Source organism: Homo sapiens, chromosome 16 (genome assembly GCF_000001405.40).
Source record: "Homo sapiens chromosome 16, GRCh38.p14 Primary Assembly".
Taxonomy (NCBI): domain Eukaryota; kingdom Metazoa; phylum Chordata; class Mammalia; order Primates; family Hominidae; genus Homo; species Homo sapiens.
In genome coordinates, this window is record NC_000016.10 from 5,856,632 (window position 1) to 5,870,184 (window position 13,553).

The following is a 13,553-nucleotide window of genomic DNA, read 5'->3' on the forward strand; positions in this document are numbered from 1 at the left end:
TGCTGGAGCTTTAGGACTTGCTGCTTCACCTTGCATTTTTATGTTATAGAGATGGTTTCTTTTCTTAAACCTCATGAGCCAGGCTCTGCTAGCTTCAAGCTTTTCTTCTGCAGCTTCCTACCATTCTCAGCCTTCATAGAATTGAAGAGAGTTAGGGTCTTGCTCTGGGTTGGGCTTTGGCTTAAGGGAATGTTGTGGCTTATTTGATCTTCTATCCAGACCACTGAAACTTTGTCCATATCATCAGCAAGGCTGTTTCACTTTCTTATCATTCCTGTGTTCACTGGAGTAGCAATTTAAATTTCTTTCAGTAACTTTTCTTTTGCATACACAACGTGGATAACTGTTTGGGGGAAGAGGCCTAGCTTTTGGCCTATCTTTGCTTTTGACATGCTTTTCTCACAAAGTTTAATCATTAGTTTTTGATTCAAGGTGAGAAACATGTGACTCTTTCTTTCACTTGAACACTTAAAGGTCATGGTAGGATTATTCACTGACCTGATTTCAGTATTATTGTGTCTCAGAGAATAGGGAGACCTGAGGAGAGAGGGAAAGATGGGGAACAGCTGGTTTGCGAAATAGTCAGAACACACACTACATTTATCAGGTAAACCTCCCATCCTATGGGAGAAGTTCACAGCACTCCAAAACAATTACAATAGCAGTATCAAAGATCACTGATCACAGATAACTGTAACAGATGTAATAATCATGAAAAAATTTTAAATATTGCAGGTATTACCAAAATGTGCCACAGAGACATGAGGTATACACACACTGTTGGGAAAATGGCACTGATAGACTTGCTTGACACAGGGTTGCCGTAAAGCTTTAATTGATTAAAGAGCAAGCAGTGTCTGTGAAGTATAATAAAATGAAGTGCAATAAAATGACCTGGGCCTGTAATAACCTCCCACCTCTGGCTGTGACAGCCAAATATGCCTCCAGACATTGCCAAATCTCCCCAGTACACTGAGTGAATCCCCTGTTGTTAGACAGCTAGGTTGTTACCTATTTTTTCCATTATAGAAAATGTTCCCAGCATTTTGGGAGGCCAAGACGGGCAGAACACTTGAGCCCAGGAGTTCAAGACCAGCCTGGGCAATATAGAGAAACCCTGTCTCTACCAAGGAAAAAAAAAACAAAGAAAAGAACTGCACAAAACTTAGCCAGGCATGGTGGTGAGTGCCTGTAGTCCCAGTTAACTGGGGAGGCTGAGGTGGGAGGATCCCTTGAGCCTGGGAGGCAGCGGTTGCAGTCAGCTGTGTTTGCACTGCCGTACTCCAGCCTGGGTGACAAAGTGAGACCCTGTCTCAAAAAATAAAAAAAGAAATGTTATAAAATATCATTTTGTGCTATAAGCTTTTTGTGGTATTTCCAATATGTAGAAGAGACTTCCACAAGCAGAGGTATGAGGTCAGTGGAAAGGAGGGTTTTTAAGGATCTTTGTCTGTATTTCCACATTGCCAAGCTAAATTTGGCAAGCTAAAGGCTCCCTCTTAGGAGCTTTTCCTAACCTTGCACCTAGCCGCAGAAAGTAACCAGGGGCTCTTTAGAAGGAAACTTAGATGGTGACACCTTACCCCAAAGACAGCAGGTTACAATGGGAAAGGCCCAGAGAGCCTCAGCACCCACTTCTCACACCAACCCAGGCTCCTCCCTTCTTCATAATTAAGCTTCAGATAATGTTTGCAATCTCCCCGTGTTTTCTACCATGTGTCAGGGTGACTGATGGGCTTGTCACAGCTCAGACTCCCTGTAAACCGGCACTGTGACTGCTTTAACCTTCCTTAATAGACCAACTTCAAGGGCAAACCAAGGACAGAGATTTGCCAGGCCCTCCCTGATCAGTCCCTCCCTCCCCTGTGACTTTTTCTTTCCTCTCTTCTGCCTCTTGCTCCTCTCAAAATCGTCTGCAAGATAGACCTAAGGCAGTTGCCGAGCACCATAAGTAAAACTATTCTTAGGTTACAAGCTGCCAGAATTTTCAAGCAAGTGCATGTAAATATTTCATTCCTGACAGTGAGAGTTATTAAGAGAAACCTTGTGCGTTTTCTAGAAGAATTTTAAGAGACATTTATTCATTGGACATGTCTGGAGCCTGCAGAATTTGGTAGGAGATGGGAAGGGAGGTAGGGAGATGAATATCATCCATGAATGGGCTCTTTCCTTTTTTACACTTATGGTTAAAATTTAAGATGAGTCCTGGCGGCTCAGTGGCTGGAACCAAGTCCCAGGCCAGAATAGAAGAGAAAGAGATAGGGAGAGGGGAAGCTGCCTACTTCAGAAATACCCCTTTGGGGCCGGGTCTGGTGGCTCACGCCTGTAATCCCAGCCCTTTGGGAAGTTGAGGTGGGCAGATCACATGAGATCAGGAGTTCAAGCCTGCATGGTGAAACCCCATCTCTACTAAAAATACAGAAATTAGCCAGGCATGATTGTGGGTGCCTGTGGTCCCAGCTACTTGGGAGACTGAGGCATAAGAATTGCTTGAACCTGGGAGGTGGAGGTTACAGTGAGCCGAGATCACGCCACGGCACTCCAGCCTGGGCGACACAGCGAGACTCTGTCTCACAAACAAAAACAAAAACAAAAACAACCCTGTAGGTGGGCTGTTTGCAAGTGGCTCTGTTGAATGTGGTAGGGCTCATAATATCAGATGTTAGGACTTCTGCTACTGTTACAGTGATTACCTTGAACTCACAAAACCACAGCTATCCATTCTCAATCTCCAACTCTAAGCCAGACGTTCCCATTGAATATACATAAAACAGCAAGAAAGATTTTTGTGTCCCTTTTTAAATAAGGAAACTGAGCCTCAGACAGGTAAGGTAACTTTCCCATGGTAGAGTAAGGACGTATAAAGATCAGGCATTTTTGTCCTTACACATTCTACCAGCTGGAGATCAAGTTGAAGGTTCTGAAAATCACTTGCCAGCAAAGGAAGAAAGTTTACAGTGGAAAATCACAAAGAACAGCATAGGTGCCCAGGGTTTTGTGACAGGGAGGATAAAACTCTGCCTACCATTGGCCAGCAACCATGCCAGGCACCTTGAACATATTGTTTTGCTTCTTACAGCAGTCTTATAAAATGCTATTTCCATTTTACAGGTATAAAATTATGGAATCAGAGAGGCTAAGTCACTTGTCATCATCTATGGTCATGTAACAGAATATCCCTAAAACTTAGTAACCGTTTATTATACCTCAAGATACTGTGGGTCAGGAATCTAGGCAGCGCCTGCTGGGCATGAGTTGACTCAGGTTTCTTGGTGAAATTCAGTTGACTGGCACATTGGTCAGGAAGACTGGAAGCCTGGGCTCCCGTGGGACTGATCCCAAAGCACCTAGATGTAGCCTCTGCAACAAGGCTATCTTAGGATAGTCAAAATTCTGACATTTCAGCTGTGGGTGCCCAGAGAGCAGCCCAGTAGACAGTAGTGGACACTGTCAGCATTTCTTTTTTTTTGTGATGGAGTCTCACTCTGTCGCCCAGGCTGGAGTGCAATGGCATGATCTCAACTCACTGCAACCTCCGCCTCCTGGATTCAAGTGACTCTCCTGCCTCAGCCTCCTGAGTAGCTGGGATTACAGACGCATGCCACCATGCCAAGCTAATTTTTGTATTTTTAGCAGAGAAGGGGTCTCACCATGTTGGTCAGGCTGGTCAGGAGACCTCGTGATCCACCCGCCTCCACCTCCCAAAGTGCTGGGATTACAGACGTGAGCCACCGCGCCTGGCCTACTTCACCACTTTTTGACAATAGGACTATAAGGTTTTCTGTTTGTGCCTGTGAAAACAGTCTAGAGATTCAAATTGGTTCAAGAAAAGAGTTGACTCAGTTTGTTTAAGAACTCACAACCTGTTGCTTGCTCCCATTTGTCAAGGTGGCTGTGTAGAGGAGAAGGGGAATGCAGTGTTTCCTGTTATCCCCAAATGGATCATTAGGACGCAAAGTTGCCTGCAGAGATAAGCTATGCATGATAAGTTCCAAAATAGTGAGGTCCAGATACCTCCCCAGGGCTAAAAGAGGACAAGGCAATTGTGCTATTTCTAGTGTCCACTAGTCTATATAAGCAGAAGATCAGAGAGGATTCAAGAAGAGAGAGAAGAATGAGTCATGGGTCAACGTCCTTCTCCACAACATCATGAAAAAAGCCAAGCTCCAGGGCTCCTCTTGTAGATACTGGGAGGCCAGCAAAAAGAGGCCCTGATCTACTCACGCAGCATCTTTGATGGTCGTTCTTCTGGGCTTATTTGTGCAGGTGGAGATAAAAAGGAATGGAGGAGAGAGAAAGCTTCATTCTCTGCTTTGCTCTCGCTTTTTGTGGCTAGGTGAGGACCTGAGTTTCCTGAAGGCTAAAGGGATACCAAAGAGAAACTGGGTTTGAGCTTTGTGGCTGGTGTACCAGAGAGAACCAGCTGCAAGGTGAACAATCTCAGTGTCAAGAGATGGAGTCACACTGCCAGCATTCTATCACCAGGAGAGTTTGGGAGAGGTTGAGCAGAAGTGGATTTCCTATCATGGAACCATGTAGGAGGATCTTGTACAAAGTAGTGCTTCAGTGGGGATGTGTGGGCAGCCAGCTGGGTCTGTTCACCAGAACCATCTTCTCCCCTTTGATACACGGTTGGCTACATGCTTACACCCCCGTGCCACACAGGTGACTATGTGACTGAGCTCTAGACAATTGAATGTGAGCTGGAATGATGCATGCTGCTTCTGGGTGTGGTCTCTAAAAACCACTACTCATTCTCCTCCTGTCAGATTGGGACAAAGATGATGATGGTGGCTTTGGAAGTCACATCTTAAGCGTAGCAGAGCCTCTTTCACTCTGATTTTCTGAATATTCACGTGGAAGAGATCTGTTATTCAATTTGCTCTCCCACCTGGGACTCCTACATGAGAAAGGAATGAATGTCCATTGTGTTGGGCTGTTATGCATTTGGTTCTATTTGCAACTGTAGCTTAGATATCCTTGACGAACATAAGCAGCCTTCACCCATAGGACTCCCCCTAATCCACCCATGCCCCATGACGGTGCCAGCATTTGGACATCTTTCATACACAGGGCATTTGTTGCTATTGGAATTCACCTGATCACCAGAGGCATTAGCAGATGATTTCATTTGTTGCAAAGTGCAAAGGATGTTGTTGCCCTTTCTCTTGAACCCATCTTCTTAGACGCAATGGCAGAACAGATGAAACCAGAAAACCAAAGGGGAAAGAGGTCAGGAAAGAAAAGACCATGCATTCTCCCCAGTTAGTCCTTCTGGTTGCTGCCTGTGGGGGGAATGGAGGAGATGCGTCTTATACTGTACGTGAGATTAAAGTTTTACACAGAGTTGGACTTGAGAGGACAGGAATTCTCAGGCCTGAGAGTGACGGCCATTCTCTGTGTCTGGCCGAGGTGTCCTTACAGCTCAAAAACCTCCACATGTGTGTCATTCATTTCATACGCTGGTGTCAGACCATTCCATAAGTCAGTTCTATCTAAGCCAGAGACAGTCTGGCAAAGACGACCTGCTAGACTCCTTCAGGGTTTGGGGATCTAAGATTTTCATGTGAATGACTAGCAACAGAAGTAATCACCCAAATGCTGCCACGGATCCTCGTGTTTACCTGGAATGCCAGTTTAAGTTAAGATGCACTGACGTCACAGTTAAAGCCTTCCCGGTCCGGCACCGTGGTGTGTCATTTGCTGGTGGGGAGGGAAATCTGGAGGCCTACCAGGGATGGCACTTGAGGGAGGGGTGTGATTATTCAGTCTTGCTGCCTGGCGGGTCGCTTGTAGCACCGTTGGCACAGCCATCCCTACTGTAAATACTGGAGGCAGGGATGGGGTGACCTGCATCAATCAGTGAGAGGGGAAGGGATAATGTCCAACCAGGGAATAGCAGACAGTCACCCACTGCGTGTCAGGGTTTTTGGATGGGAGCATTGCAGAGCTGTGCAGGGAGCGCTGTCTAGGATGATAGAGACCGGGTTCAGTTTACAGCTCTACTGCTTGCCAGGGAAGTAATTAAATCTCTTTGATCCTTATCTGGATCCATTTAAAGTGAGCTCTATCCCTTGAATGAGCTGATAAATTCCTTCCTGTGCTTGAGCCATTTTGAGTTGTTTTTGTGTCATGTTTCCGAAAGAGACCTAACACGACCCTATAAAAGTTATACAGGGTAGCCCCACGCTGTTCAGCATGGAAGGCACACACCACATACTGGTTTGCAGCATCAGAGCCCCAGACAGTGTTTGGGCATCTCAGAAGGGGTTCAGGGAGAACAGGTGGCTGTGACTGGACAGTGATCTTCCCTCTGTCCATTAACTCAGTCCGGACATCTCCTGATGTGTGGGAGTCCCAGGAGGGAATCCAGGTCTCCATCATGTGGCAGAATCCCTGCCTGGGTCTCAAAGGCAGCTTTGGAGTTCGACCTGAGTTCAGACCCGGCCCCTGAAAGTCCCTGGTGTGGCCTTGGGCAAGGCTCTTTATGTCTCCAATCTCAGTTGAAAAGGAATCACGTCCACTGAGTTCCTAGCACAAGTGAGAAGGAAACCCTTAATGTCGGCCTTTGCGATTTCAAACACATGCAGAGAAACCGAAGGAGAGGAAGGGAAATGATTAAAGGGATGGGAAATAGCTGGAACAAAGCTTTCAAGAGAGTCCTGCTGGAAGTTTCCCACGTCCGTTTTGCACCCTGCGCTGGTCCACAGAATGGCCCGCCTCAAACACGGCTCTAATCATATCAGCCCCCCACTGCAGACACTCTGATGACTGCTGATGGCTTGATAAAAGCCCATGGTTGCAGCTGGCGTCAGCAACCCTTAAAGAGCCCTCCATCCTCCAGCAGGCCTCTGCGGTACGGTCTGGCTTGCCCAGCGTGCAGTCCAGCCACAGTGGGTCGTGACAAACCCTGAGGTCTGTGGGTGCACATTCATGAATACTACCTGCCTTAGAAGGGAGTCTCTGAATCTAATATAATTTTGACTATGAAATCCACTCTGAATGCAGCGTAGAGAGGGTTCTAGATACCTAGAGGGGCCTCAGTAAAGTTTACCCCTTGTTTCATATATTTAGCTGATTGGTAAAATGATTAATGCGGTATAGTTTACCTTTAGTTGGCCACAAGCCGTACCACTCCCTGTTGCATCACTATATGCCTTACCTTCTACTGTGCCCTCATATGTGAATGTTTGAGAGAGTTCTTTTTAGTCTCCTCTTTAATAAGAAAAAAATAGCCAACATTTCCACAAGGTCTCTTTCTTTCCAATTTTTTCGTGAATTTCTTTTAACTTTTAAGCTCAGAGGTACATATTGCAGGTTACAAAGGTAAACTTGTGTCATGAGGGTTTGTTGTACAGATGATTTCATCCCCCAGGTATTAAGCCTAGTGCCCATTATTTTTCGTGATCCTCCCCCTCCTTTCACCTTCCACCCTCCAGAAGGCCCCATTGTGTATTGTTCCTTTCTATGTGTCCATGTGCTCTCATCATTTAGCTCCAACTTCTAGGTGAGGATATGCAGTATTTGGTTTTCTGTTGCTGTGTTAGTTTGCTAAGGATAATGGCCTCCAGCTCCATCGATGTCCCTGCGAAGTCCATGATCACAACACTATTCACAGCAGCAAAGACAAGGTCTCTTGTTAACGCTAAAGTGGTACGAAGCTTTATTTTTTATCCTGGTTTAAACGTATATTTAATTTTACAAGTGGATACATTATCAATGTAAACATCTTAAACAATTCAGGAAAAGAGAAAGTTGCCATTGACTTTTCTTCACCCTTTGGGTCCCAGTCAAGTTCCAGTTTGCTCAGGAGTAAACCTTTTGTCGGTTTGATGTATCTCCTTTGATACATTTTTCACATATGCATCTATTGTGTGTGTGGTGAGGGAGAGATGGATGATGTATACATACTTGAGTTTTTTTTTTTTTTAGAAAATGGTATCTTATGTACACTTTTCTGAATGTTTCGTTTTTCATTAACAATATATGCTGTAGAGTTTTTAATGTCAGCATATAAGAATCTTCCCCAAGCTGTATGATAGTTTATAATATGGATGGATCATAATTGACTTGGCTTAAAAGATCAGAAACTGGAAGTCCAACAGCCACATTCAGATCATGTATGTGTTTTTTGTTTGGCTAGAACCGTGTTTTGCCTGGGAAAAACTGAAACGCAAATGGCTTTAGCTAGTGGGCAATCATTAGTTACCCCACAGGCCCTGCCACTCCCTACTGTCTCTCCCACTATAGGTGGTTGAATATTCAAACCCTGTACTTTAGTCATTATACTTTTTAAAAAATGTATTTCTGTCAGATCAATGCCACAATGGACAGCTATGTGTATGCCTTTTTATGTTTGTATTTCCCTATGGTAGATGCGAGAAGTGGCTTCCACCTAATGGGGGGAATAAGAGGGGCTTGATGATGTAAATGACACAAGGTTAGGAAACACTAAAAGTATGACTTGGGGGACATCAGAGTAGTCAGCTGAAAACTCTTTTGCCCATGGAGCTTAGTGAAGCAGAGAGGGTAGTTCTGCCCAAGGCTCATAGCTGTTGAATATCATATTTCCCTGACATATTCCTGTTGGTTTTCAGCAGAGAAATACACACATTCACGTGAGATAATGTAGCCCAGGGATCTTGTGTGCTTGTGCTTTACGGATGTGGCTGATCACCATGGAATCAGCTGCTTTCCCAGTCCTGAACGGGCGCCAGGAATGAGGGAGGGGAGGGAAGGTTCCAAACTCTGACATCCATCACACCATGAGTTTCCCCATGGCTGGGCCCCGGATTCATGGCTTGGCAAGCCTTCAGCCACAGCTCATGGACTTTCTTGGCTGAGGTCAGTCTGAAATCTGGTCTCCTGTTTAGAGGGCTAATGGTGCATGAAAGCTGCTCCATGGACAGCGAGCTCTGCCTGAGCTCCTCATCTGATGCCTTGGGAGTGAGTGTGGGAGAGTTGGTGCCAAAGCCAGGTCAGTGGGAGCTGCAGGGGCTGGTCAGCTAACTCAGGAAGTCATTCGTTCTTAAGTCCTTTGTTGGATTCACATTTGTGAGCTGGTATTGGTCTGTGTCTTAGCCTGGGCTGCCATAGTAAAACACCATGGACTGCAGCTTAACCAACAGGAATATATTTCTCATACTCTGGAGCCTGAGAGTTCAAGATGAAGGTACCAGCAGACTCGGTATGAGAAAAGGGTCTGCTCATTGGGTTGTAGGTGGCTGCCTTCTTGCTGTGTCTGCATGTGGCCTTTCCTGTGTGCAGGAGGAGAGAGAGAGAGAGGGAGAGAGGGAGAGAGAGAAAGAAAGTAAGTTCTCTGCTCTCTCTCCTCTTTTATGTTTCATTTTTTTAAGACGGAGTTTCATTCTTGTTGCCCAGGCTGGAGTGCAATGGCGCAATCTCAGTTCAATGCAACCTCTGCCTCCGCGGTTCAAGGGATTCTCCTGCCTCAGCCTCCCGAGTAGCTGCGATTACAGGTGCACACCACCATGCCCAGCTAATTTTTTGTGTTTTTAGTAGGGATGGGGTTTCACCATGTTGGCCAAGCTGGTCTCGAACTCCTGACCTCACATGATCCACCTATCTCGGCCTCCCAAAGTTCTGGGATTATAGGCATGAGGCATTGTGCCCAGGCAGCTGTCTCTTCTTTGATGGGCACTAATCCCATCATGAGGGCCTACCTTCATGACATCATCTAAACTTAATTACTTTCCAAAGGTCCAGTCTCCAAATACAATCACAGTGGGGGTTAGGGGTTCATTATATGAATTTTGGGGACATAGCTCAGTCCAAGTAGTCAGATAGGACAATATGGCTGAGGTTGGCCAAGTCATCCAGGTATAAGAGAAGTTGTAAGATAGAAAGCTTCTTAAGAGTTATCACACAGAGAAAAAGATCTGATCTCTAGATAGGAGACCCTTTCTAGGCATAGATGAACAATGTTGGGAGGTGTCTACACCAAATCCTTTGATATACAGTAGGCTTGTAGATAGGAGGCTGAACATCTACGTGACTTTATGTTGGGTTTAAATCTAATTTCTTATGCTTAATAACATCCCGACTTTGGAAAAGTTACCTAACTTGTACAAACCCCAATATTTTCATTTATGAAATGGGGTCATAAAAGTTATTCAAGGGTTTAAATGAGATAAAATATATAAACAACTTGGCACCATTCCTGGCACAACTCTATTTCACAATATTTTGAGGAATTTTGCAAACATGAAGCTGCTGCTGTTGCTGTCATTGTAGCTTTTACCTGGTGTTTCTCATAACACTGACTTGAAACTTTAAGGGAAGGAAAAAAACACATTAAAAATGTCTTCAGTGCCTTTGTTTTCTTTTTCAGTGTTTATTTAATCATTATCAGTACATGGACATTGCTCACAGCCCTCCCCACTTATTTTTTTCTTGACAAGATTGTTATAATATGTTGAAAATACTAATTATCCTATTCACCTTATTAACAGGGCTGGATAAACAAATCATGTTGCTGTGCTTGGTGGAAGAAAATGCATGTGTGTGTGTGTGTGTGTGTGTGGTGTGTGTTGCAACCTTTGTCCCCTCGGGTCATAACAAATTATTGATGCCAGTTCCTTTAAAAAGACAATTAATCCAATTACCTTCTTGTTGAATCAATACTAATGTCTTTTTTTGTTTAACTTGCAGGTTTCGGCAAGTCAGGCTACAGGCAAAGCTGAGGTAGGAAACGTGGTTTTTCTGTCCCTTTAGAAGATAGTTTGAAGTGGGTTTCTTTTGTGATGGAGTGTAACGAGCATTCTAGCAATGATTCTTCCGTGTTTCATTTCCTGGTGGCTTGGATGGTGTGTTTTCAGTTGAGTGGTTTCTGTGCTGCTGGGTTTTGGGGTGCCCAGGTCACCGCACTGCTCTTCATGGAGTGTGCGTGGTAAAGATGGTGCAGGGTGACTTCAGCGTCTGTTTCTTGACAGATACATCATAATTCTAGCCCAGCTCAGACAAAGCCCTGGCTCTGCCAATGAGACCTCCACTGTCTGTATTATATAGTTTCCCCATTCCTTCTCTTTTGGCTTTTCTTTGTATATTTTTTTCCTTTCCTTTATTTTATTTTATTTTTGGGACAGAGTCTCACTCTGTTGCCCAGGCTGGAGTGCAGTGGCATGATGTCGGCTCACTGCAACCTCCGCCTCCCGGGTTCAAGTGATTCTCCTGCCTCGGCCTCCTGAGTGGCTGGGATTACAGGTGTGCACCGCCACGCCTGGCTAATTTTTGTGTTTTTAGTAGAGACAGGGTTTCACCATGTTGACCAAGCTGGTCTCAAACTCCTGGCCTCAAGTGATCTGCTCGCCTCAGCCTCCTAAAATGCAGGGATTATAGGTGTGAGCCACCATGCCCAGCCTGTTTTTCTTTCTCTACTCAGTCTCCAAGGCATGAAAGGAATTGTGGTGGATGCTGACAACATAGGTAAAGAATAAAAAACGAAGCTGTTCAGAAGTCACCAGCAAGGTGACCACCCATTGGAAATTGTCCATGTTGTAATGTAATGGGCTCCTGCAAAATATGCCCAGCACGATAGAGCCGGTCACTCTCACTCCTGAGCCACTGTGTGGTTAAAGCAAAGAACACTGACCCAGGTCCCAGGAGCCCAGGGCTCTGTGTGACGTCCAGTGTTGCATTATTGGAACCCTAAGCATGTGGAGGTATTTATATCCTACTGCTCAATGAGGTCATCACCAAAGTCTGATTTTTCAAGTTCAAGAAATTGCAACCTCAGGCATAAATGGGTTAACTGTGGGTTTTCGCTTTCCTCAGGTATACCATGGGGATGGTTATATCTCCCTTTGATCCATCACACAGTCGTTAGTAGGGTAAAATAGAATAAAGCTTGTGGAGGCAGATTCTCGCAGGATTCTGCAAACACCTAAGGGGAGATCATTATCCACAAGTATCCATTCCCGTTCAAATGTCGGCATCCTCGGATACAGTAACTTGGTGTGCAAAGGTTTTCCAGGAGCTGTGATGCATTCATAGTGTGAGTGATTTCAGATGCCTAGTGAGGCAGGGATTTGGGAAGCACAAGGATAGGGCAGAGATGAGCAGCCCCCACTGTCACCTATGTCCCCATGATCTTGTGACCAGTCACTCGAGTGAGTTATTAAACAACACAAATTTTGTTTCCTCATTTTTGGAATAGGAATAGCAATATGCATCCTATGAGGCTGTCGAGAGCATTAAAATGGCAACGGCAGTGTTTCCTCTGGTGGTTTGCTGTCACGGGAATACCAGTTTCTGTGTATTTAGCATCTCTGATGCACCATTTATTTATAATTGCACTGCACGCATCGTTATATAAAATCCTTAAAAAAATTTTGTGATGTATAGGCTATGATGATCCCTATTTCACAGAAGAGTGAACTGGGACTTAGAAAGGCTGAGTAACTTTCCTAGTGCTGTTCAACTAATGAGGTATAGAGTTGGAATTCATAACCATGTCTGGCAGGGTACAAAGTGCCATGCCATGTAACCCACCCAGATTATGGCCTGGTAAACAGTGGGTGTTCAGTAAATATTAGTTCTGCCAGTCATGAAGGACTGATTGCGCTTTCTGGAGCATACCTGAATATGTCCTGTTTCTCTGTGGTCATCACCTGAGACAGCTGTGTGTTTCCTATGATCTTCCATCTTTCTTCGTTTCCCCAGACACATTCTTATATCTGCATCTTATTTGGCAGTTTAAAACAATCATCCAACAAGAAAACGATCATGTTGCCCCTTTTAAACTTCACAAGATTTATACGTATATATTTTTAGATGGGGACTCTCCCAGTCACCAGGCTGGAGTACAGTGGCACAATCTCGGCTCACTGCAACCTCCGCCTCCCAGGTTCAAGTGATTCTCCTGCCTCAGCCTCCCAAGTAGCTGGGAGTACAGGTGCGTGCCACCATGCCTAGCTAGTTTTTGTATTTTTAGTAGAGATGGGGTTTCACCATGTTGGCCAGGATGGTCTCTATCTCTTGACCACCTCGTGATCTGCCCTCCTCGGCCTCCCAAAGTGATGGGATTACAGGCATGAGCCACCGCGCCCGGCTGTTCACAAGATATTTCTTATCCTCATTTTACCTGTTGAAAAAAGGAGGTCTGAGGAGTTGCAGTAGTTCCTACATAGGTGAAATAATGTTTAAAAATCCAACAATTCCACTTCTACTTGTATGCCCAAGAGAAACGGTGCTTATGTCCACCAAAACAACACATGCAAGAATTCCCATAAAGGATTTATTTACCATACCCAAACACTGGAAACAAACCAAATGTCTATTAACAGAGTAACAGATCAATCAATAGTGGTGTATTCATGCAATGAAATACAATACAGCAATCAAAAAATATTATCTATAGGTGTATGACACAACCTGTATGACTCTTAGTAATATAATATTATAAGAAAAATATCAGAACAAAAGAATGTACCCTCCATGATTTCATTTACATATGTACATATACACACCTACATTTATATTATTTATATATTCTATATATTATTTATATATAAAAAATAAACAGACAACATTCA

The 13,553-nt window shown here is 44.5% G+C and overlaps 1 protein-coding gene across 4 annotated transcripts in view; it reads left to right on the forward strand.

Moving 5' to 3' along the window:
- The window catches only part of RBFOX1 (RNA binding fox-1 homolog 1), a 2,473,620-nt gene that overhangs the window by 616,911 nt on the left and 1,843,156 nt on the right, over positions 1-13,553 (forward strand). For all 4 annotated transcript variants that reach the window (NM_001415887.1, NM_001415888.1, XM_017023318.3 and 1 more), the window contains one exon: positions 10,672-10,704. In NM_001415887.1, coding sequence (NP_001402816.1) covers positions 10,672-10,704 — 33 coding nt within the window. The remainder of the gene's footprint in view (positions 1-10,671; positions 10,705-13,553) is intronic.